Source organism: Homo sapiens, chromosome 18 (genome assembly GCF_000001405.40).
Source record: "Homo sapiens chromosome 18, GRCh38.p14 Primary Assembly".
NCBI lineage: Eukaryota > Metazoa > Chordata > Mammalia > Primates > Hominidae > Homo > Homo sapiens.
In genome coordinates, this window is record NC_000018.10 from 49,903,618 (window position 1) to 49,929,763 (window position 26,146).

General features: G+C 46.3%; 1 protein-coding gene across 1 annotated transcript in view, besides 2 other annotated features; it reads right to left on the reverse strand.

Annotated features, from left to right (window-relative positions):
- The window catches only part of MYO5B (myosin VB), a 372,359-nt gene that overhangs the window by 80,829 nt on the left and 265,384 nt on the right, over positions 1-26,146 (reverse strand). The window contains exons 17-20 of the mRNA NM_001080467.3: positions 25,895-25,981; positions 8,445-8,556; positions 2,802-3,013; positions 1,055-1,211 (exon numbers count right to left, since the gene is read on the reverse strand). Coding sequence (NP_001073936.1) covers positions 1,055-1,211; positions 2,802-3,013; positions 8,445-8,556; positions 25,895-25,981 — 568 coding nt within the window. The remainder of the gene's footprint in view (positions 1-1,054; positions 1,212-2,801; positions 3,014-8,444; positions 8,557-25,894; positions 25,982-26,146) is intronic.
- Positions 633-1,133: an enhancer, noted in NCBI's record as "H3K4me1 hESC enhancer chr18:47430620-47431120 (GRCh37/hg19 assembly coordinates)". NCBI's record gives its function as "activates a minimal SCP1, AML or CMV promoter by ChIP-STARR-seq in primed H9 embryonic stem cells {active_cell/tissue: H9 hESC(primed)}" and the evidence as "EXISTENCE:reporter gene assay evidence [ECO:0000049][PMID:30033119]".
- Positions 1,134-1,634: an enhancer, noted in NCBI's record as "H3K4me1 hESC enhancer chr18:47431121-47431621 (GRCh37/hg19 assembly coordinates)". NCBI's record gives its function as "activates a minimal SCP1, AML or CMV promoter by ChIP-STARR-seq in naive and primed H9 embryonic stem cells {active_cell/tissue: H9 hESC(naive and primed)}" and the evidence as "EXISTENCE:reporter gene assay evidence [ECO:0000049][PMID:30033119]".

Here is a 26,146-nt window from a genome sequence, read left to right on the forward strand (position 1 = left end):
TTTTTATTATTATCAATTTCGTGCTTTACTTTTATTATTTAGAAAATCACACCTTCTGTGATCATAGAAGAGACAGATGTTCATTTAATGAAAAAGAAAACCATTTTAGACATTTCCTTCCAATTCGTGTTTCAAGTCAGCTCTGTGCTTCAGATGTGTTGGTGTTACCTGGTTGAACAGATGTGTCCTGATGTGGGGCTCCTGAACCCAAGGGTTTTGGCTTCACTGGAACAACACAAAGAGCAAGAACCTGGCAGGGAAGAGGTCGGGGCCTCCCTCCTGACCTCACCATGTTGGGCTTCAAGCTCCTGATCCGTTAAGTGGAGGAGTTAGACCTGATGATGCCCAATACCACCGCCTGCCCTCAAGTGTGAATGAGCCCTAGGTGGGTCACCTGGCCCTGCTGTTGGCTGGCCTGGGCCCTCAGGCAGGTGACCTGGCTTCTCTGAGCAACTCAGGTATCAGAAGGGGTGTGAAAACTGCCATGATTGGATGCTGGGCCCCTTCAAAACTCATGTTGAAATCTGATCCCCTATGTTGGAGATGGAGTCTAACAGGAGATGTTTGAGTCATAGAGGCAGATCCCTCATGAACAAATAAATGCCCTTCTTCAAGGGTGATTTCTCACTGTTAGTTCTCATTAGAGCTGCTTGTTAAAAGAGCCACTCTTGTGCTTCCTCTCTCACCATGCGACCTCTGCACACACCGGCTTCCACCTCCCACCATGAGTGGAAGCAGCCTGAGGCCCTCTCCAGAAGCAGATGTTCAATTGTGAACTTTCTGGCCACCAGAATTGTGAGCCAAATAAACCTCTTTTCTTCATAAATCACCCAGCCTCAGATATTGTTATAGCAACATTTAATGGACTAAGACAACAGTATGCACACCCTTCCTACCTTGTGGGACTTCAGAAAGGATTTGGTGAGAGCAGAGATGTGAAAGCATTTAGAAAAAAGTTGGGAGTGCTTGACAGAGGTTCACGTTGGCAGTAATTCATCTGTTGCCACTTTAGTTCTGAATCTGCAGCCCTGAGGCCCTCAGAGTGGCTACTCACCTGGCGGTAGGTTCTCCGCACAAACATGGCCCGGGTGAAGGCCTGGATAACAACGGCAGCTCTGCGGACCCTCTGGTAGGCCTGGCGGGCCCTCTGCATGCGGTAATGTTTCTGGAGCACCACAGCCGCTCTGATCCTCCGCAGGTGCTCAGCCAGCCTGGGGAGCAAGAGGAAACAGGCAGTGTCAGGGAGAGAGTATTGACCGCCCTGATGCAGAGAACCCTGAGACATCTGCAAATGCAAACCTCTCCCTCTGTGGCCCTACCTGGACACACCCAGGGGAAACCAACTCTCTTCACCCCTAACAAATGTAGCAATGCCTTAGGCATTTGACGTTGTGGCTAGAAAAGCAGTGTTAGTTCTTTCCTTATGGTCTCGAAAGGCTTCCCACAAGCTTCAAACTCAGTCAGAGTCTGACTTCCTCTATGATCCTTATCTGAGCACTCTTCTACCTCACTGTGCCTGGGCAGTCCTCAACTACTTCACCAGTAGCATTCTACATCATGTGTTCACATTGCTGCCTGTCCTCTGTACCTCCCCAGGCTTGGAGATCCCAGGGGCTGTGTCTCCATCATCCTGGACCCACTGTAGGCACTGGGTAAGTGTTTGCTGAATGACTAAACCTTCTCAGGCCCAGACCAATCTCTGTTTCCTTTATCTCCTCAACCCTTTCTGCTCGGGATGCATGGAATGTGGCCATTTCCTCTCCTCTCTTGCCTTTCTGCCTTCCCATCTCACCTCCCAGATAAAGCCAGTCTAACACTTCCTCCCCTTCTGAAGGGTCTTGTTTGCTGCCAGGCCTATAACAAGTGCTCAATTAGAGACTCAGTGTGAAATGCTAAAAAAGACCTTGGAAATCATTCAGCAAAGCCTCAAAGGAGAAAGTGACCCACTCAGCCCATGTGTCACCTGTTTGCTGAAATGCATCTGATTCCCTAGTCTAGCTCTCTGTTTGGCCTCCAAACACAAGACTTTGTGGCGATTATTGTCACTTCTCTAAGGAAATTCCTTTCTGGAGAGGGCACTGGACTTGAACCAGGCCTGGGCTCAAAACCTAACAACCGAGGGTAGGGTCAGAGGGCAGGCTGTCTTCAGCCTGTCTTGGCTGACACACTCCTGCTGCTGTAGTGCCTCATCAGCCCAGTGTCCGTGAGGAAGGAACCCTGCAGTAGTTTCTTCTGCTCGGGGTCGAGCTGGGGGCAGGCAGGGGAGGCTGATTGGCATCCTGACTCAACCCCTAGGTCAACACTCCTGCTTAGACAAGCCACTCTCTCTCCATCCTGGCTTGTGCAGTAACTCGCAAAAGGGGCCTCCCAGGACCTTTGCAGCCCTAATCACCTGACTCCGAGGCATTATGAAATCTGTGGAATAAGTAATGAGGCCAAGCACAGGTTAACTGTGCCAGGCTGTATTGGTCTCTTTTCCTAAAAGGAGTTAGTTTTTTACTTTGGGGTTCAGGCAAAGGGGAAATGGTTGGTTTGTGGCAAAACCAGCTGGTTCTAATGCTGGTAGGATGGAGGGAGCCTGGGGAAACCAGGAGATGTGGAAACTAGACCTACCCCCTGAGGTGAGAAGGCATTGATTATAGGGATAGGCCCAGCTGCCGAGGAAAAGCCAAGATGCAGACATGGCCCCAACAGGAACCACTCTCAGCACAGAGGAAGAGAGAAGCCAAGTAGCTGAGAAAGGCAGACCCCCATCTTCCCCACCATGATCTGCTGCCCTGAGCTGCCACAGTCTGGCTCACCTGCGGGCCAGGTGTCCCCGGCAGTACCTCTGCAGGGTTAAGGTAGCCCCCTTCAGCCTGTGATATTTCACCTTCTGCAGCCATCCCCGGACAGTTTTCTGGATCATGATGGTGGCTGTCCGGAACTTGTCAGCCCGCAGCTTCTCCAGGTAGGCCACCTGGCCTGCTCGAAAGAAGATCTTGGTGCGGCCAAACTGGAACTTGTCGGGGTCCTTTACAAGGTAGGGAGGGGATCTGGTTGGTCACCAGTGAGCAGAGAAATAACATGGCCCATACCACCCTTGTTCTTCCCATGCAGAATCCCCTGGCCAGACTTCATGCACCCCTCTCTGTAGATGGACACAAAGTCTCAGCATTTGCTTAACAGACCCCAAGACCCTACTACGGGCCAGACTCTAGAACATGGCAGTGAACAAGACGCCTGCCCTCAAGGAACTGACATCATGGTGAGGGCAGACAGACAAGCAAATAAAGATGCTTTCCGTTTTCAGAGAATGGTGAGGATTATGAAGAAAACAAACTGGTGGCTGGTGAGCGTGGGATGGGGATGTTCAAAAAGGATGCTCAAGGAAGGCAGCTCTGTGGAGGTGACAGCTGAGCAAAGACCTAAATGAGCTGAAGGAGGCAACCACAGAAAAGAAGGAAGGAGGAAAGTTCCAGGAGAAGGGCAGAGTGGATGCCTATGTCCAGTGGTGCAACTGCTGGGTATATCTGAGGATCAGGAGAGCCAGGATGGCTAGCTGGGGGAACTGAAGGTGATTGGTGGGAGGAGCCAATCACCAAAGGCCTCGTAGGTTGCAGCATAAAATTGGGGTGAGAGCCACAGGCAAGCTTTGAGCAAGGAAATGACCTGATCTGATCAACATTTTAAAAAGATTATCCTCAAATGGCCACACAGTTGTATGCATAATTACAGGATGCAAATAACCCCCAAATAAAACTATGAGATTGTTTTGGACCTGTAATTACTGTCTTAATTACATCCATTAGGTTAAAATTAGTTGCCCTTCCCTGGGCTCACCCCTTTGGATGAGGAAAGACAACCCAGCAGGGTTCCTGTGGACAAGCCTGGGACAGAGCACTGGGAGAGTAACCCATGATGACAGAGCTCTTTGTAAATCAACTGCCATCTCATTTTGCTCACTGGCATGAAGACCATAATGAGAAAGGAAGGAATGAGCCAAGTCCAAGGAAAATACACACACAACATTGCATTTCATGTTGGCAAATGGCCCTGAAAAATGCTGAATCATCATTCTTCATAGGTTAAGCCCTATTGGGTTACTAGGAGTCGGGTTCCACACACAGGGAAGGCTGTCCTGCCTGAGCTAAGGCTGAGCTTGCAGCAGAGCTTCCAGCTTGAGTGTCACTGACTGAGTCCCCGGCCTGGGCCAGGCTGCTCGTGAAGCTGGCAAGAGTGGGCTCTGGGCCTGGCTCTCCTCCCTGTGTCTGCTCAGAGCCATGCACCCACTGGGCCTTCAGCTCATGCTGAGAGGAACAGGGGCTGGATGGGACTTGGGAGCTTTGAGGCAGCCACGGCCCTGCTTTGATCTCTGCCCTGCTTGGGGAGGCTCCATGGCTCAGCCAGGAGGGGTTAGGAAGCCAAAGCACGGTAGCTAAGCCCCTGAGTCAGGGAACAAGCCTGGGTCCTCCAGCTTAAGCAGAGCCAGAGGCTGGGGGCTGTCTACCGCATCCAAGCAACAACAGTACCTGCGCTTCATTCCCTATTTCGGAAAAAAAACAGGAAGGGATGATATGCTCTGCAAGGCCACTTTTTCTGAACAAGGATTTCTCTGAGGGTCTCACCTGCTCCACTGAGACACCCATCAGCCTCATCTCCATACTGTCCTCACCCTGTGTGTCTCCAGAACATCTCCCACCCAGATCTGCTTCCTCTAACCCTTAGAACTGACTGTTGACTGATCAGTCGATCAATCATCTTTTGAGAACCTTTCTCCAAGAGTCAGACTGCAGGGGCTGAAAGCAAACTTAGCAATCCATTCCAAGCCACTCCTTTTACTTCACAGATGATAAAACTGAAGCCTAGAGTAGTGAAGTGACTTGCTCAAGGTGACTTGAGCAAATATCAAAGGATAACCCCAGATCTGGGTCTCCCAGGCCCCAAGTCTCCAACTGCAGCATCCCCTTTCGTGACACTGTCTCCTCTACACAGTGCTCACACACATCCTTGTGCTCCGTTGGCTCCCTGCAGATGTTTGTTAATACACTCCTTCGCCACTGTGATGAAGATTCAGGCTTGCACGACAGCCAGTCTCCGTGATGTGGTCCTCTACAGTTATGGCCATCGTTACATTAGACTATTATTAATTCTGGAGAGTAGGGTCCATGTAATGCACTCTTTTTATAACCCTCACACTAACCCCTCCAGATTAGAGTACAAAGAATTCAGTATGTATCTGTGGAGTTAAAGAATAAACAAATTCAGGTTAAGAATGATAGGGGCTATTCCTAAAATCCTTGCAGGGGAGAGGCCACCAGAATCCACTTTTCTCCCCTAAACAACCACAACAATTTATTAAAACCTCACTGACAGCCTAACGAAGCAGCCCCCAGCCCCAGGCTGCCCCTCCAGGAAGGTGGTCTTTAAGTGCCTGGTGCCTGCCCTGCAGGCCACCTTTGTCCCCACTTCTCATCGTTCTGTTCTAAAACGTACTTAGAACTTGCTTGGGACAGGGTGGGGAACTGGCATGTGCCCCTCTAAGTTAACACGCAGCTCTGTCAAGTCTTAGTTTCTCGATACAAAGTCCCAGGTCACTCAGCATGAGAAGTATGGGTGTCCAGATGTGGCCCAAGAAGAGGAGAAAAATAAAAAGGAGGAAATAGAAGACCCCAGGGAAATCTTTAGCATTAGTGTCTCTATTCAGTCTCCAGGAAGGATAACTGCACTCAGTGACATTACTCAATCAGACTGGATCAGAGGGCAATGTAGTTTAGACAGCGGGAGTTAGAATCAGTCCACCTAGGCAACCTTGGGCAATTTATATCAGCTTTCTGTGCCTCAGTTTCCTCATCTGTAAAATGAGGGTGATTTCTGTATATTCCTCATAGGATGAGCCATTACTGGCAGGTTTCTAGTCATGAGCAGCTCTTGGCTAGTTCCCCAGCCAGCTGCACCAACTCATGTATTCCTGTGACAACCAGGAATTGTGCTAGGAACACAGCCACAACAGGACCCTTGTCATTTATGTGTTCACAGTCTGGTGAAATGACAAGCCCTCAATTACAACATAAGGGGATGAACACAATAAAGGAAGGGAGGAGGTGAGTGCTGCTGGCCCATAGAAGATGGAGTAGCTAACAACATCTGGGAGGCTAGGAGGTATTTCAGAGCTCAGTTTGGAAGAATACCACTTTGTCAGGCAGGCAAAAGAGGGGAAAAAGCATTGCAGGCAGAGGAAACAGCATGTATTCCTATACTTTTTCTTTAGGCAAGTCACTTGTTTTTTCATTTGTTCCATAAATATTAGGTAGGCTCCCCCTGCGTATTAGGCTCAGCACTCATAACTAAGGAGGTGGTGTAAACATAAAGACACTGTCCTCTACGAAAAAGGACAAACACATCTGGAACATAGGTCAGCATGCTATGGGCTCTAAGAGTGACATGAAGTGCCACATGCTAGACCATGGGAAGCAGGAGGGAGAAGCTGCACTGAAGCCGAGCACTGAGAAGCAGGCAGGCTCCCCGTCAGTGAAGAGAAGAGGCAGCTGTGCCAGGAAAGGCCCAGTGTCCTGAGCACATCACAGCAGCAGCCCCAGGCAGTGGCATGTGGTCCCATTAACTGGAGGAGAGCCCAGTGTGGGGGCCGACTCAGCCAGTCTGATCCGGGTCCCCTCCAGAGTTCCCTCTTTGGGAATCAGAGGTCTTGGTGGTAATCCTGGAGAAATCCAGCGAAGGAACAGAAGAGGGAAACTATGATCCTAGACAAATGAGAAGGCAGCCACATGGCAGAGTGGGCTACTTGCAGGCCCTGAAATCAGCTGACCTTTAACAGAGATTTTTCTTGTCCATAAAAAGTAAGATGTTAAAATGTGGACACTGATAGGTGGACCACAGCAAAAACCTCAATCAACTGGAGTCCAGCTAACTATAGCCCTTGATTAACCAGCCTGTTACCCCCTTACCCTGTTTAAAAAAAAAAAAAAGATGGCATGGCAAGGTGGGCTAGTATTTAGGCTCTCTTTTTAAAAAGGCAAATTTAAAGCTATGCATACATTTACTATAATATTCTGCAGTGTCTATAGCTAGACTTGAGCAGCTAAGATGATGCTGGGAAGATGGCTGCGACACATTTACAAAATAAAACATGACCTTAGATCCTGATCATCTGGCAATGAGCTACTCCAGATGGATAGATTTTCCGAACAGAAAACCTGAAAAATTAAAATTTCTGAGGTAATTATTTTTATTACCTTGTTCAAGTGATTTTTGATATAATTTAACCTTTATCGAGCCATTAATGATCATACTCTGCTGTAATCCCCAAAATGTCTGGCACCATGGAAATGTTTAAGGATTTGCCCCTCACAAAAGGCCCCAATAGCTCCGCTTCTATAGTTCTCCAGTCTCAGCTGTCAGGTGTGAGTTCAAATTGTTTCAATTAAAACATAAAATCTATTGCCTTACTTAAAACAAGTATCTGGGGGAGGGCCTGAGGCTGGTGATGCAACCAGCTAGATGCAGCAGCTACCTTCCCCTCTGCTGGCTTCAGGGCTAGGCCTGGGCTCCACATCAGAGCCCTTACCCAGGTGTACCAGATGGGCCGTGCTATGTAGCCCCTGAGAACTAGAGAAGCCAGAGATCCTGAGCCGGCAGCTTGCAGTTAGCAGTAGCCTCATCATAAACCCAAGCAAGCTGTACAAAGAATTCTGCTGGAGTTCAGTCAGGCTGGTGGGAAAAATGTTAGAGATAGTTATAGAAACAAATCTTCTTGGAAGGCCTAGAAGTTTGCATAACTTTGGTAACAGATCTGGCTGAAGGTGGCCTGATCCCTTTACCTCTAGATAAACAAATGAAAATAGTAATAAAGAAAGGCAGAGTAGTTTACCTAGATAGCTTGTTTACTCATATAATCTTAAGACTAACCTTTGATGTACCACGGTTGTGTAAGTGCGTTTTTACTTGGGAAGTCCACAATGTCAATTATCCTCTAGTGGTGTTGACTCAAGCTTTTGTTAACTAATCTTACTGAATAAATGCAAGTCTGATCAGGGCCCAGTCACAACTGTTTACAGGACTCAGCAGGGAGCCTGTAAGTGGCTCAGACCCTCAGCTGAACTGGCAGAGCAGAATATCTGTGTGTCAGTATACTTTATTCATCCATTGCTGGGTCAGGGGTCTGCAAGGGACAGACTCCCTGCAGCTGGTGCCCTCGAGAGGAGCGCTGCCACAGAATTCCATTTTCTATGCCTGCTGAGCTGTAAAAAAGGTTGGGAAGTGCTCTAGATAAGGAGAATGGGTTGCTTTTTTTTCTAGTCACTGATGTAGGAAAATGGATTAATATCCCAGAAATAGATTCAGTAAGAAGGATGAAGACCAAAAAAAAAATGTAGATAACGACGCCACCCCCTCAATCTTTAGGGGACCTGGTCAGGCCTCTCCTGGAGCTGGGCTGTGTGGCTCACCTTGATGAGGTTCTCCAGGACAGACCTGCAGATGGCCTTTTTGTCTGTGTTGGCGAGCTCTCTCTTCTTGACCAGCACCCGATACCGGTTGAAAAAGTCATGGTAGGCCCACCTGGAGGGAAAGCAAAGGGGCATCAGGTGACACATCCTGCCTCTTGGCCACACAAAAGCCAGGCGTGACCTCAGACAGTTCCCTATGGGGTCAACACTGTGGCACAAAGTCATTCTCAGAGCAGCAAAGAACAGTCCCAGGGGAGTTTTGTCCTCCCCAGTGCCCTCCAAGAATTTCACTGTGAATGTGATTCTTGGAATTGTGGCTGGAGGGCTGGAAAAAAGGTGAGTTTTGAAGGTACTTCTTAGAGGACTAAACAGGAAGTTTATGCCTGATATGGTTTGGCTGTGTCCCCACCCAAATCTCATCGTGAATTGTACCTCCCATAATTCTCACATGTCGAGGGAGGTACCCAGTGGGAGATAACTGAATCATGGGTGTGGTTTCCCCCATACTGTTCTGGTGGTAGTGAATAAGTCTCATGAGATCTGGTGGTTTTACAAGGGGTTTCCCTTTTCACTTGGTTCTCATTCTCTTGCCTGCCGCCATGTAAGATGTTCCTTTGCTCCTCCTTTGTCTTCCGCCATGACTGTGAGTCCTCCCCAGCCATGTGGAACTGTGAGTCCATTAAAGCTCCTTTTCTTTATAAATTACCCAGTCTCGATTATGTCTTTATTAGCAGCATGAGAACAGTCTAATATATTGCCCAAGCATGCAGTGCTCCACTCCTCAGAAGCAGGAGCCTTACCTAGAGCACAGCTTTATTTTCAAATGTTGGTTTTCTTATAGAATACTGCTCATTGTAAACAGCTTTTTAAATGCAGAAATATGTACATTAACAAATAACAAGTGGCCGTATCCTAACCCCTGGAGAGATAACATGGTTTATGTTTTAATCAGTATAGAAGGAACCATTTTTCTCCCCAAAGTAGATTTTGCTTATGATTTTTTTCTTCTGATTATTAGAGTAATACAGGCCCACTGTAAAGAAAATGTCCAGCAATTCACATAATTAAGAGCATTTACAACACCCCTACCTATGTAGGTGAGTGCTGTTTTGGTCTGTGTGGGAGGGGAATCTTTAAAGAAAGCCTTAAGTTTTCCCCTTGGCCTCTGAAATGATCTCTACTTAAACAAATGCAGTCTTTCCAATGAGCAAATCTGCTATTTCCAGGTAGGGTCTGTCCCTTTCTCATTAAGGTGGTCTCGATTCATACATATGCTCATTCTCCTGAAACTGATTTTTCTTTCAATTTTTGGGAGGTATTCAACAACTTCTTCATATAGTCATGTAGTGACTCAGCACAATCCCTACTCTAAGGAGACTTTGAATTTTCACTCTACATCCCTCTGAAAGTCAGTCCAGCCTATCCCCACTTTCTCTGTGTCCTCAGTGGAGGTGTACAGGCAGCCCCCCACCCACTCTCATCTTCCGAGGCATGTGCTGTCCATACCCCTCACGTGGAAGTAATTTATGTGACTGTCCAACTACCTGATATGGACAGGAGACAGGGAAATACTGGACAGAAGAGGACAGTTCCCTGGCAAAGGCCCTACCCTCAAGCCTGGATACCCATGGCCCTAAATGAGGATGGGCATTCCTGTTTTTGCAACCAAAAAGTTGCCTTTTGGCCCACCACACCCCCTATCCTATACCCATATAAACTCCAAACCCCAGGCTCCAAAGGCAGACAAGGAGACAAAGAGACAAGCAGATCAGTGGCAGAACAGCACGACAGAAAGAGAGAAGAGAAAGAGCATCTGAACACTGAGAGGAGTTCACCTGGGGGTGGTGGGAGAGAAGTTTGGCCACTGGATGGCCAAACTCCAGGGGAAGATCATCTTCCCACTCTAACCCCTGCTTCCAGCTCCCCATCCATCCCGCTAAGAGCCACCTCCACCACTCAATAACCACCCCCCAGCAACCATCCTTCAGGTCCATGTGTGACCTGATTCTTCCAGGACCCTGTACAAGGGCCTGGGTACCAAGTGGGCACTGAGCTGGTTAACACTTAAGCCATCCACCGACGGCAGAGCTAAAACCACACTGTGACACTGGGGCTTCAGGAGTCGCAGGCTCCCACCCCTAGATGCTGCTGTGGGGCTAGAGCCCAAAAGGGCTTGTGCCGGTTCCTGCACCTGCCCTTCTGCCTGCTCCCCATTCCATAAGGGGTTTGAGCTTACAGCAGCAAACAGAGAGCCACACCCCCATAGCACACCCTGTGATGGGGGGCCAGGGAACTCTCCCGTCTCATACTCAGGTAAACTCACTCATTTCGAGATATTAAAAGAGAGTAAGTGGATTGTATCCCTTCTCCTGGAGCACTTCTGCCTTTTAAGAGGGCCCTTTAAAAATGTTGTCCAAAGAAACAAGGTAAAAGTCTGGCCAGGTGTGGTGGCTCACACCTGTAATCCCAGCACTTTGGGAGACTGAGGCGGGTGGATCACTTGAGGTCAGGAGTTCAAGACCAGCCTGGCCAACATAGTGAAACCCTGTCTCTACTAAAAGTACAAAAATTAGCTGGGCATGGTGGTGGATGCCTGTAGTACCAGCTACTCAGGAGGCTGAGGCAGGAGAATCACTTGAAACCAGGAGGTGGAGGCTGCAGTGAGCCGAGATCATGCCACTGCACTCCAGCCTGAGTAACAGAGACCTTGTCTCAAAAAAAAAAAAAAAAAAGAAAAGAAAGAAAGAAAAAGAAACGAGTGCTGTGGAGTATCACATACAGCTTTGGATTCAGCTGCAGCATGGTGGGCAGTACGGGCACACCGTGCTCTGGAGCAGGTTCTCTTAGAGCTCCAGATCTTCCAGCATTGCGGCCCTTGGGTTCCTAGGAGGACTTGTTCCTCCCAGCAGCCTGGGATGAGAAGGAAAATGGAGGCTGAGCTCCTTGTCTTTCCCCCTCCTCATTGCTCCTTTGCAAACGCTTTTCCTGGTCTGGTGGAAGATGTCTAACACAGCCATGGGTCTCAGAGAAGGGGTGAGTATAAGAGCAAATACCAAAATGACATCTCTCCCTTTTCCTTTTTTTTTCCTCTATGTAAAATGGCTCCTTACCGTTATAAAATTAAGTTTGAGCTATAACTCACATAATGTAAAATATACCCCTTTAGAGTGTACAATAATTGTTAGTATATTTGCGAAGTTGTGCAACTATCACACCCTATTCTGCCCTATTCTCCCCTCTTCACAGATCCTGGCAACTACTAACCTACTTTGTCTCTATGCCCATTCCCTCTTTAATTGGTCCCATGTGTCACGCACGTAGTGGCACAAGGGAACAAGAGCCCGTATTCAGCTCAGAGCTCATGAGTCTTTACAAGGCCCTGCTCATCAGGTCCATGTGGATTCCCTTCAGAAGGAAGGGCGCAGGGCGCTTAGAGCACCGAGGCCTCTGTCTTATGGCCTGGGAAAGGGTTGCTCTGCCCTTTGCCCTTTACTCACCGAGCAGAAACTATTTCCTGTCCCTCTAGTAGTGGAAAGACTGTGAACCAAACCCATTGAGTTGCTGATTATCTCTGACAGGAGGCTTTAACAATGGAAACATTTAAGGTTATTTGCCTAGCTACATATTGTTTTAATTATTTGATCATGTACAATAAATATTCAGAACACTCCTAAGCCCTGACCCATACTTGAACAACTTAATGCCGGAACCCTGGGGAAGAGAGAGCCAGAGCTGACAAACTGCCCATCAGATGTGTGTTTTAACACACGCCAGCATGGCTGAATTTCTCCCAGGCTCTTCCTGTCTCGGCCCCCAAGTTTTAAATATAGACACTTATCTTGGGGTAAGATGGATTTGGGTAAGAATCAGGTGGAAGAAACCATATGAAAAAGGGCCTCACAGAGTCCGAGTCCCCTTGGTCCCTGTGCTCACCATCCATCTTTGACTCTTTCGGCTTTGCTGACCCACCCGCTCAGGTGCGGGCTCCCCCTTTAAAGCTGCCCTGCCCTTTCCTTCCGTGTGTCTGAGGGCACTGCCCACATTATACACCATGGTTATTTGCATACACACTTGCTTTAGTTCTCCTTAAGAGTTTGCAATTTCACTGGGGAAATAATTGAAGCATCATTTAGCTGGGCTAAAAACCTTAAATGCTTCTAATTTGAAAACCTCTTACTGCTGACAGATCCATACTCAAGGAAATTACTAGAGTGAGGAGCTGTGGCTGCAAAGACATCAAGGCCAGTACAGGATGAACCTGGAGAACAGGAGGACAGAAGCCTGGCTCTGATGCCGGCCGGCAGTGCGACTGGGGCCAGTCCCAGCCTGGATGCCGCCCCTCCGCTACCTGTACAGTGGAGAGAACATCACCCACCTCATACAAGCACCACAGGGCTTTAGTAGCCAGGGAGTTCAGGAGATGGGGCGTATGGAGAGCTCCAAAGCTTCCAAAGACCGGAATTCTCTTGTTTCCTGCCTAAGCCACTCCCTTCCCCTTTTCTCACAAAGGTGTCCTTCACACACAGCTGTACCACAGACAGGGTGTGCAGAGAGGCTGAGGGGAGAGGAGATGCCAGCTCCTGTGTGAAGGCAAACCGTCCACTGAGAAGCACCACCATCGCTTCGTGGCCGTGAGGGTGGGGACACCCTCAGGAGGGACCAAGAGAGTTCAGTACCCACTATGGGGTCTGGGAAAAGGGCTGTAAAGATGTCGCTCCCCGAAGGACCCAGCATCAAATGTGAATTCTCCTTTCGGTGGATTTCTGTGAGAAAACAAACCCTCAGAGATAAAACTCTCCCAAGAAAGGCTCCCTCACCTTTAAGAGGAAAATCTTCAAAGTGAAGCTCAAGAGAATTTGTGATTCTTTTTCCAAAAATAGAACTTTTTAAAGGGGCTTTCTGATTTGGTGGGGACCTTTGGGTGTGTGTTCACTGCAATCACCTAAAGCTGGAACAGCCCACTCATGAAGACCACAGGCTGTCCAGGGTTTCTTGAGGCTGCCATGACGGAATCTCCCCCTCTCACAGCATTTTAGCTATTTCCGAGTCCACTGTGGGACAGAGAGCATTCCACCTCGTGTTGTGGATATGTTCATGCAGGGGTAGCTCCTCTGCAAGACTTGCACCTCCTTCAAGTCTGTCTCTGATCCACGTTTAACCCTTACAGCACCTATTGTCATGGTGTCCTTATACTCAGTTGCCAATTACAGTTTTAAAAATGGGTATTCTCCTGACCATTCAACACGTTAAACCTTTCCTACCAGTGTTTCTCACAGAGGGTGCTACTGGCTTTGGGGCAGCACCGTTGGGTGTGGGACAGTCCTAACACCATGCAGCATCTTTGGATCATTATCCCCGACCCCATTCACTGAGACATCAAAAATGCTCCCAAATGTTTGTAAAACGTTTACTCCAGACCATGGTTTGTAAACGTTTACTCCAGAAGAACAGGACACCTTCTCGACTTCCATCACCTCCACAGCACGACCCCCATCCTCATTAGATGGCCATCGAGACGCCTTTCCCCACTCGGTGTGACTCTGGTTCACTGGCCAGGAGGCGTCTTTTAACCTAATCACCCAATCCTGGCTTGGCTTCTCTTCCATTCCATTCCACATTAATGGTGGGAGAAGAGCCCTCATCCCAAGTCTAGTGACTCCAGGAATGTAATTCTTACTCAGCCCTGCTCTCCCTGGATTCTGACTTGCTTGTCAGGGGCCTGGCTGAGCATTCTGGACTTCAGTGGTGTGCTTCCTCCAGAATCAAGGGCTTCTTCACCTGGAGTGCCTCTAGCTTGCTGGGGAGCAGGCGCCCTGACAGGGTCAAGGAGTCACAACTGGGTGTATGGGAGAAGCTCAGGACCCGTGACTGCTTCCTGGTAGGAAGAGGGAGAGATCAGAGACAGTAACAAAGGCCAATATGGGATGGGCCAGGACAGGCATTCAGCAGAACCCACCAGTCTGGAAAGATGTTTCCTTGTAATGAGCTCCTCAGGCTCAAGGCAGGGAGTGGTAACACGGCTGCTAAGAATGGTGCAGGAAGCGCAGTAGCTTTGGGATGTTGTTTGGCTAACGGAGGTCCCATACAGAGCCTAACACCGGGTTTAACCATCTGCACGTGCAAATATTCTGCAGAACAACATGCCTGCTTGCAAGGGCCCCAATGGACCAATATGGACAGATGGTATGGAGCTGCAGAGTTACAGCACTTTGTGCTTCTTCTCCCTCGGGCATGTTTCCTCATGAGGGGACTGGCTGGATCAGACAAACCCTAGAGTCCCTCCAGTAAGACCACGGCATAAGGCCCTAAGTCACACAAATTCTATGACATCAGTCCACAAAAAGAATCCCTAAAGATGTCCTGATGGGTAACCTAAGGTTCCCTTAGAAAATGGTAAAGAATCCCTCAGAGCTCTTCCGGTCAGAATTAGGTGGGTCAACCCATCCTTTCAGGTACTCCATTATACCATCATGCAACCTAGCTGGAGGATTCCTGGTCACATGGAGGTGGAATGCAAGAGGTATATGCTTCTTTTCTAGTTAAAGAGCCTTACAGGAACCTATGAGCCTCAGTGGGACTTTGTTCCCTACAAGGTCTCACATGGAAACCAGCAGCAATTTGTGGGGCAGAATTGTTTGGCCATGCTGTGAGGCATACCTACCAGGACCAACAGGCTGTCTCTGGATATTGAGACATGGATCATCTTCATTATGCCACCAAGCAACATACACTTCTTTTCCTTTTTGAAGGAACAAATCAGCAGAGAAATAGATGATTCTGGATACAAGAGTTTCCCTTGGAAGTGTACTAGGGATGGACAAAATTTCTAAAGGGACATAAGAGGCCAGAATCAGAGAAGAGAGGGACACCTTCTCAAAGGCTCACAGGAACAGGCATCCTTAACCTGTGGACATGCGGTATGGTGGCTCTACCCTTTTCTATCTGGAGGACTTGACCTGATTACTTAACTTTTCTCGGGTATATTTCTTTATCCCTTAAATGAAATTGTCACTGTCTACCTTGCCTTCCTCAATGGTCAATGTGATCCTTTCAACAAATGGTCCTGGGACAAATGGATAAATGCATACAAAAGAATGAGACTGGGCTCTTACATGTAAACTCACTCAAAATGGATCAAAGTCCTAAAACAGTAAAACTCTTGGAAGAAAACACAGATGTTAGTTAGTCTTTGTGACCTTGGGTTAGGCAATGCACAACCTAATGCAATGACACCTAATGCACAACCAAAGAAATAAACAGATTTCTTCAAAATTAAAAGCTTTTGTGCTTCAAAGAACACTACTAAGGAAGTGAAAAGATGGTTCACAGAATGGAAGAAAATATTTGCAAGTCGTATGTCTTATAAGGTTCTCATATTCTTAATATATAAAGAACTCCTATAACTCCTATAACTCAACAAGAAGACAAGTAATCCAATAAAAAAAATGGGCAAAGGAGATCAACAGACATTTCTCCAAAGAAGATGTACAAATGGCCAAGCACATGAAAGATGCTCAACATCATTAGTCATCAGGAAAACGCCAATCAAAATCACAAGATACCTCTTCACACCCACCAGAATAGCTATAATGAAAAGGACAGACAAGAACAAATGTTGATGAGAATGCATAGAAACGGGAACCCTCATGTACGCTGCTGGTAAGAATGCAAAATGGTACAGCTACTGTGGAAAACAATATGGAAGGTCCTCAGAAGAGGAGAGTGTTACCATATGACACAACAATTCCACTCCAAGGTATACCCTCAAGAGAAAAAATGTGTCTACACAAAAACATGTACACAAGTGTTCATAGCAGCATTCTTACTTCCCCAAAAGTAGAAACAACCAAACATCCATCCACTGATGAACAGATAATATAAAATGTGCTGTATCTATCTGATGAAATAATATTCAGCAATATAAAGGAATAAACTACTGACGGTTGCTGCGCATGGATACATCTTGAAAACAGCCCTGAGTGAAAAGAGCCAGACACAAAAGGACACATATTATGTGATTCCATTTATATGAAAAATCCAAACTAGGCAAATCTATAGAAATAGAAAGTAGGTTAGCGCTTGCCAGGGGCTGGGAGTGGGGACTATTAATGGACACAGGGTTTCCTTTTGGGGTGATAAAAACATTCTGAAATTAGACAGTGGTGATGGTTGTATAACTCTGTATATAATGAAAATAACTGAAATTGCATACTTTAAAGGGGTGAATTTTATAGTAGATAAATTATATCTAAATTTTGAAAAGATGATGAAAACATAAGAGGTTTGTGGGTGGCCTTTATAAAGTAATACATACAAGTTTTCAGCTCTGAAACTCACGGAGGGGTTCCAGTGCAAAGGTTGTCACATGCTCACCCAGCACTCACACCATCAGAAACACTCCATGTTTGCCTTTCCTTTTATCCCCCAACTATGTCCTGGGCCTCCTAGGGGAACACAGACTCAGCCCCATTAGTGGCCCTAGATCTGAAGCCTGCAGAACTTTGTTGCAGAGGGAAGGAAACACAATTCCTCCCCACTGGCTCCGAGTTGGAGCTGAGACACAAAGTGAGGACACAGGAAAACCCACTCCATCCTATCACTGCTTGGATGTGACGAAGTGGCTTGTAGTTTACCCAGGGGGCAACACATGCCTTCAGGGTAATGATTTTAAGGCAGGATGCATTTTTAAATCACCTGGGGAAACTTGTCAAAATGCAGATGTTCAGGACTCAGTCTCAGGCTCTGACTTAATAGGTCTGAGGGGGCCCAGCTTCTGAGACTGCTGAGTATGTCCCCATGACTGACGTGCAGCCATGCGTGAAAACCCGTGGGTCAGGCTCCAGTCCAAAGGAACGAAGACAGATCTCACACAAAAGAGCCAGACCCAAAGGCTGTGAGATCCTGAGATAATGACTCATATCATTCCAAAATCAGTTCTCTATTATTCTTCCTCTGTGGGATGTTTAATAGCAAGGGAAGTAACTGTGCGTCTGTTTTAAACTCAACCATGATTAAATAGGGAGAGGAAGCAGGCCGCTTCTAAAGCTTCCCTTTAGTTCTCCAATCTTATGCTATTTACTCTTCACAGGACTGGGGAGAAGAAAGTTGAGGAAGAAGTGGAAGTCTTTTCAGAAAGTGCCACTTTTATGAAGTGAAGGTGGGAGGATGTGGAGGAGAACTCAAGTTCAAGCAGAGTTTTTTTTTTTTTTTTTTTTTTATAATATCAACATTTGTACATTCCCCCCACCACACACACACTTTTCGGGGTAAGCAGTATTTGCTTCACAATTTCTCCAGGACACAAAGCTGCTGACTCTCTGGAGAGGGAGACAGATGACTGCACAGGCACGAGACCTAGGAGCTGGGTGACGGGTGGAAAAGCCTCTCTTCCTGGGCAGTGCATTTATCACAGGGCTTTATGTGCATAACAATGGACATATTTCTTAGCCGCTGCACAGCATTTCAAATTGAGTGACACATTTTCATTTTAAATCAGACTCACAGAGAGCCATAATTCTCAGGGAGGATAAAAATAGACCGGTATAGGGAAGCCCGAGGGCAGGCTGAGGGAACACCCGGCAGCTACTGCTGTCCTGCAATGCTGCATTCCTGCTCTCTGGCTTGGTGGATTTTATTAATTTGGGGAAGGGGGGTAAGAATTCCTCTTCCAGGGCATCGGTAGGCTGGATGCAGGAACTCTGCCGAAAAAGCCCTCTGCTCGGGCTCTTGGGAGCAGCCCTGTGGATAATTCATCACAGGCTTCTGCAGTCCTGGGATGACGCATTTTCTTTTCCTTTGCCATCTCCTTCACTTTGGCTGCTTCCACACGGGAACTGTTGGAGATGGCATAAATTGTAATTCCCTTAATCAAAGAGGGCCATTGAAGTTTCTTTTGGAAACAGCTGTGCAAAGTTGTATGGTTACTTGACAAGCTAATATGAGCTGAATCACTTCGCTGTGTTGAGTTTTCAGCAGCCAAAGAGCAGAATTTTTGTAGAAAACTCCCAATTTATCCAGCACCCAACTCAGGTCCCTCTGGTCCTATGAAGGTCTCCTAAAGTCACATCAACAAAATAACTGCTCAACTCCACACTGAAGCTAGCACACATTACACTTGTATATTTCCTTCAGTAGCTAACACCTTGTTGGGCAGACAGTATCCACTAAACCTCACTTGCTTTATCCCCAGACACAGTAGGCATATACCAATCTCCTGGATTAAGCAGTTAGGTAGCATTATTATTTTAATCAGTGACATCACTCCAAATGGTTACCATGGTTGGCAGATGGAAAAGATTAAGCAATGGTGCTGAGTCAAAATATTACAGGTATAAGAGCTTCCTGCCCTCTCACCGCTCATCCTCAAAGTAAATGCCATCCTACATGCTGTGGCTTGGTTGTGGTGAGAGGAAAAGGATTAGGCTCTGGATTAAATGGTGAGGATGATTCGACTGCAGCTCAATACAGTACTAACAAAAGTGACACAAAACACAGTGCCTCTTTCCAAAAGTTAACATTTCAAATAGCAGTTTGGGGAGGGAATCCTCTCTTTGACCCTTTAGCAAAACTTGCTAAGATGGCAAATGCCAGGAGGATAAGGAAGGCAGCATTCTAGATCTAATTCCACACATTTAATTCACAGAATTAGAGAACAGTTCCTGTGATACCAGAAATACAGTCATTCCTTCCTTACAATTTCCACAATACCTGTAATTACAAAAAGAAGTGGTACAAATACACATGTAAGTATCTGCTAGAAAAAAGTCCAAAACAATCAGAATAGCAGTAAAAGACAGCTATCAGCTGCCCCTTAAGAGGCCAGGGGTTGTGGGCATCTTGACTCTGCTGGCAGCTCGGATTCGCAGCAAGGTGGAATGAACAGTAGGAGAATCCATTTTCCACGTGGGTCTAAAGACTTTGGGGAAATGCATTCTTTTAGCTGCTAAAAATGAGGTTGCCTGGATGAGGCAAAATCACACCTGGTCTCTCAGCATGCTACAACTAGGGGAGTAAGCAGTAGGAACAGGGCAGTGAGCGGCCAGAAAAGCCCTCTGCAACTTACTGTGCCTCCTAGCACCAGACATCATGTTGCTTCCTGGCAGGCAGTCTCTACACCCTTCAAAGTCCAGCTCAAGTCTCAACTCCTCAGTGAAGTTGCAGCTCCTCCTGCACTTGCACTACAACCTTGCATCTGGTTATATGTTGTTCTGTTTCAATCTCATATCACTTCCCTGCTGGGCAGGGCCCATGACTTGAATCTTTCATTCCCTCCCAGGAAGCAACACAGGGCTAGATGCTCGGTGCAGGATGAGATGTGGAAGAGAAAGATTCCCAGGAGAGAAGGACACCACAAAGGCCAGAAACTGTTCTCATTCTACATAGAACCCATGTGAGCCCCTAGAAGCAAAATCCTCTCCCCACTGGCTTCCCCCTCTAAAACCGACCATTTTGCATGGAGACAGCAAGACCAGTAGAAGTGTGGGCGACACACACTGTCACTCTGATTTCACACAGCGAGGCTTCAAGCTAGCTCAGCCAGTGAATCAGAGGTGGCAGAGATGTGTATAGACCTCTGCCTGAGCATGGTCTATGGTTAACCACGTCAGATCCATGGACTTCTAGCTCCTCCCTAACGTTCTCCAAGGAGAAACCCTTGAAGCAACATCCTGTGTAGTCTGTTGTTCTATTATTGAACAATTCATTCTGTTAAAAAGTTCTTTGTGAAATCGGTGGCCCCTTATATACTGAGGGGGGTCCCAGAGGTTCCACCTGCCTTAGAATATCTCATTGTCACATGCTTCCCTTGTTTCTTCTCCCCTGCTTGACATGGTCCTAATGTTCACACCTCCTACCTGACAAGTCCTCCATGAGCACCTTGGGTCTCTCTGCTCACCTCCAGACCTCTGCACTGTACAGCACAGGATGGTTGTGAGGACCTGCAATCCCACAGTTTCTTGTACAGTGATCCTCAACAGTTTAACATGGGACATTCAGCTCCAGTCTGTTTTGACAGACTTCTTTACATGTTTTTTAAACTGAGCTTTCTAATTGCTTGAAGAGGTCTGGGAATTTCAGAATGCTCTTTTCAGGTGGCCGCACATGTTGGGATTTCACAAAAATACCACCAGAAAGTTCTGAGATAGACACATTCTACCCAGATAGTTACACCCATAGGGAGGTAGCTTCTTGCTCATATCCCAATAAGTAATAAATATCTTACTAAATGCTCAAGTGTCCAGTGCTGGCTGAGAACTCTAGATACATTATCTAATTCCTTACAACAACCTACCAAGTGAGTATGATCATTCTTTTTAAGGATAGGGAAACCTAGGCTCATTGAGATTAATTTACTTCTCCAAGATCACCCAGCCAAGAAGTGTGGGAGTCAATACTTGAATCCAGGCCTGACTCCAAAGTCCAAGAATTCAACTACCAGGCTCTTTCAGCTTTCTGGCAGGCCACAGCTCTGCAGTCTGGACTCCCACAAGCTGGAAAGAGGAGGGAGTTTTGCACTGTCTCAGGTTTGGAGCTGGCCCCAGAGGGCAGTCTCTTAGGATCCTGCTTCACCCCTTCCTCCTCTGATAAACCTTTGCTGGGATGGTAACACTTCCTGCACACGAGCAGTAAGATGCTTGGCAGCAGCAACAGCATAACTTGGGGCAGAGGAATGGCAGGTCTAGGCCTAACTCAACCACCAACCAGGCTGGTAATCTTAACCAGCTCACTTCCTTGTCTGTGTCTCACTTGTAAACATGTGCTTTACATCCTGATGCACCCATCCCTATAGATAACACTGAACTATGACCATGCCACAATGTCCTTTCTCCCACAAATTGCCCTCTCCCATTTTCCACCCCAAGTTATTTCATGAAAAAAACAAAAACAGTATATTGGTCACAACCGTAAAACAAAAATAAAATTCTAAAGCCCCAACTATCTGAATGGATCCCTCCTTGCAGCCAGGGGCATTCCAAAGTTAACCTGAAACACTAGTTCAGGCCATGCTGGGAATGGGGAGCTGCACATGCCTCATTATACCCTCCTCCCTTTGGAATTACTAATAGAACAGACTCTATATCTGATAAGAAACATTTATAATCTATTCTCTCTGAAGCCTGATACCTGGAGAGTTCATCTGCATGATAAAACCCTGGTCTCCACCACCCTTTATCATAACCCAGACAGTCCTTTCTATTGATAATATCCCCACCAATTGCCAATCAGAAAATCTTTGAATATGCCTGTGACCTGGAAGCTCCCGCCTTCCGGTTGTCCCACTTGTCTGAACCAAACCATTGTATATCTTACATGTGTTGAGTGATGTTTTATGTCTCTCTAAAATGTATCAAACCAAGTTGTGGCCTGACCACCTTGGACACATGTTCTAAGGATCTCCTGAGGGCTGCGTCATGGGCCAATGGTCATTCATATTTGGCTCAGAAGAAATCTCTTCAAATATTCTATAGTTTGACTCTTTTCATTGACACAACCCATTGAATTGATATCCTAACCCATAAATGGGTTGCAGTGCACAGTTCTGAGAAACAGTGGATAAGGAAATGTTTTCTGTAGGTATGTCCTCTCCTGGAAGACTGGCAGATACAAGAGCCAGAAGCAGGAGTGCAGCCAGGAGCAGGAGTGCAGCCAGCTGCCCGTGGAAGATGGTTTGAAAACAAGTAGCTCCGCAGCTCCCTAAGGTCCTCTTCTAGTTCTTAAATTGGATGAAGATATGTCTGATCTGAACCCTGGGCTTGTAAGCAGGCAATGAAAGGCAGTCTAATTTGTCAGACTAGTGGTTTGAACTCAAAACTGAACTACTGCACCCATTGCCTGAGCCCCATCCCCTCCATCAAAAGGCCAATGTAGGAGACTGCAGGGTAGACTGGGAAAAGGAGTGCCAGGCCTTCATCTGAGGTGACAAGCTTGGCCCACCTCATTAACAGAGTTGTTAGCTATTTGTGTTCAGACCCTAAGGTCAAAAAATGAGAGGCAGGCCCAGGACACTCTCTGTCCTTTTTTCTAAGCAGGGACAGATGTGGTTGAAAAGAAAATAACAACAGCCTTCAACCTAGCTAGAGCAGTTCATCCTGAACAATGCTGGGACCCGCTGGGTTTTGAAAAGCTGCCCGGGTGTTGCAGATTACTGACAGCTCTTGTACTTTCCAGGTCAAATGTAAATTCCTAATTCCATCTGCAGCTTCCTTCTCAGGCCAAACATTTAGGAATTGTTTGTGGTTAAGTTGTTTATGGGTAATTAATCACTGCATACGAAATGGTTCCTCCACTACAGTGGGAAAGTGCCAGGTGGAGAGAAGACAGGGAGGAGGGGAGGCCCATATCACATCCCTCCATTCCCACTTCTGGTTCCTTCCACCTTCTGATATGAGCGAGTTGTTAGGACAGAGGGTCCCAGTGGGACAGGCTCTGGGCTGCTACACTGTTCAGCTCAGCTCCAATTAATGGCAGATGTTTGGTCTACATGATGCTGGTAGGCAGTGTGATTTCACAAGAGCTAGTGGGGTCACCAGCCACCCTTCACCCCTATTTCAGGCAAGTGTCCAGAGGGGATCCAATGTTGGCATAGCTCCAACAAGCTCTGGACTGGTTCAGTGGCTTATCCGCAAGGCAAATCAGAGCATGATAGTTATTTTTTAACTCAAAGAAACTTTATTTTCCCACCACAGATTTCATTCTATATTCAAAAGTTAAAGGAGTCTATTGAGGAATGAATGGATAAGCAAAATGGGGTATAACCACACAATGGAATATTACTCAGCCTTAACAAGGAAGAAAGTTTTGACACACGCTTCAACATGGATGAAGCTTGAAGGTATACTAACTGAAATAAGCCACTCACAAAAGGACAAATACTGTATTAATCCAATTATATGAGGTTCCTGGGATCACCAGATTTACAGAAAGTAGAAAGGTGGCTGCTAGGGACTGGGGGAGAGAGAATAGGGAAATATTGTTAATGCCGCAGTTTCAGTTTTGCAAGATGAAAAGAGTTCTAGAGATGGATGATGGTGATGGTAGCACAAAATAAGGAATGTACTTAATACCACTAAACTGTACACTTAGAAGTGGCTAAGATGGTAACCAAGGAGGTGAAAGACCTCTACAAGGAAAACAACAAAACATTGCTGAAAGAAATCATAGATGACACAAACAAATGGAAACACATCCCATGCTCATGGACGGGTAGAATCAATATTGTGAAAATGACCATACTGCCAAAAGCCATCTACAAATTCAATGCAATTCCCATCAAAATACTACCATATTTCTTCACAGAACTAAAAAAAAAAAAATCCTAAAATCATATGGAACCAAAAAAGAGCCTGCATTGCCAAAGCAAGACTAGCAAAAACAAAAAAACAAAACAAAACAAAACAAAACCCAAATCTGGACACAATACATTACCCAACTTCAAACTGTACTGTAAGGCCACAGTCACCAAAACAGCATGATATTGGTATAAAAACGGGTGTATAGACCAATGGAACAGAACTGAGAACCCAGAAATAAGACCAAATACTGACAGTCAACTGATCTTTGACAAAGCAAAAACAAAAAGTGGGTAAAGGACACTCTATTCGATAAATGGGGCTGGGATAATTGGCTAGCCACATGTAGAAGAATGAAACTGGATCCTCATCTCTTACTCTCTACAAAAATCAACTCAAGATGGATCAAAGACTTAAATCTAAGACCTGAAACCATAAAAACTCTAGAAGGTAACATTGGGAAAACCCTTCTAGACATTGGCTTGGGCAACGACTTCATGACCAAGAACCCAAAAGCAAACACAATGAAAACAAAGATAAGTAGACGGGACTTAAACTAAAAAACTTCTGCACAGCAAAAGAAATAATCACCAGAGTAAACAGACAACCCACGGAGTGGGAGAAAATCTTTGCAATCTATACATCCAACAAAGGACTAATGTCCAGAATCTACAAGGAACTCAAAGTAGCACAGAAAAAAAACCATCCCGTCAAAAAGTGGGCTAAGGACATGAGAAAATAATTCCCAAAAGAAGATATACAAATGGCCAACAAACATGTGAAAAAATGCTCAACATCACTAATTATCAGGGAAATGCAAATCAAAACCACAAGGGGATACCACCTTACTCCTGCAAGAATGGCCATAACTGAAAAATCAAAAAATAGATGTTGGCATGGATGTGGTGAAAAGGGAATGTTTTTACACTGCTGGTGGGAATGTAAACTAGAACAACTGCTATGGAAAACAGTGTGGATATTCCTTAAAGAACTAAGAGTAGATCTACCATTTGGGCCAGGCATGGTGGCTCACGCCTGTCATCCTAGCACTTTGGGAAGCTGAGGCAGGTGGATCACCTGAGGTCAGGAGTTTGAGGCTAGCCTGGCTAGCATGGTAAAACTCCATCTTTACTAAAAATACAAAAATTAGCCAGATGTGGTGGTGCACACCTGTAGTCCCAGCTACACAGGAGACTAAGGCAGAAGAATCTCTTGAACACAGGAGGCAGAGGTTGCAGTGAGCCCAGATCATGCCACTGCACTCCCACTATTGGGTATCTACCCAGAGGAAAAGAAGTCGTTATATGAAAAAGACACTGGCACAGGCATGTTAATAGTAGCAGAATTTGCAATTGCAAAAATATGGAACCAGCCCACACGCCCAGTCAATGAGTGGATAAAGAAAATGTGGTACGTATATATGAAGTACTACTCAGCCATAAAAAGGAACAAAATAATGGCATTCACAGCAACCTGGATGGAGTTAGAGACCATTATTCTAAGTGAAGTAACTCAGGAATGGAAAACAAAAGATGGTACATTCTCACTCATAAGTGGGAGCTAAGCTATGAGGACGCAAAGGCATAAGAACGATACAATGAACTTTGAGGACTTGGGGGAAAGGGGGGTGATGGTGAGGGATAAAAGACTATACATTAGGTACAGTGTATACTGCTTGGGTGATGGGTGCACCGAAATCTCAGAAATCACCACTGAAGAACTTATTCATGTAACCAAACACCACTTGTTCCCCCAAAAAACCTACTGAAAAAATTTAAAAAGTAGTTAAGATGGTAAATACATATATTTTCCTTCTGTTAGAAAGGGTGGGGGAATGGTAAAGGGGACAAGGTAGGAATTGAGAGAAGGGGAAATCCTCTTTGCAACTCTAGCTAGCTCATCACTTAGACCAACACCAAAAATCTGAAATCTGAAAAGGACTTTAGAGAAAAGCAGCCAAGAGGATGTGACTGCTAACCTTCCCAATTTTTCAGGCTAATGTGAGAGTCTCATTTCCATCAGCATCCTGCTTGGGCCTCAATGTTTGGGAACCGTTTTGAAGGATCTGTTTCTGGCCGACGGTACACAGAGGGCTCCCTGGGGAACCAAACTCTGGCTGCTCTAGGGCAGCCCCAGGAGGCAGCTGGCGGGCACGTTAGTTACCTGGATGGGTAGCCAGCTGCACTGATTCGAATCGTCTCCAACACCCCGCAGGCTCTGAGTTGCTGCACTGCTCTCTTTGGGTCAAAGCTGCCAAAGGAGAAAAAAAAAAAAAAAAGCAAGACAAGAGATGAGTGGCCACATTTGCAAAAAAGAAACAAAAAAGAATCTTTTCCTGCAGCATGTGAAGTACCTGCTGCCACTGAGTTACAGCCACTGAGTTACCCTTGAGCTCAAGTCAGGGATTAGGCATAG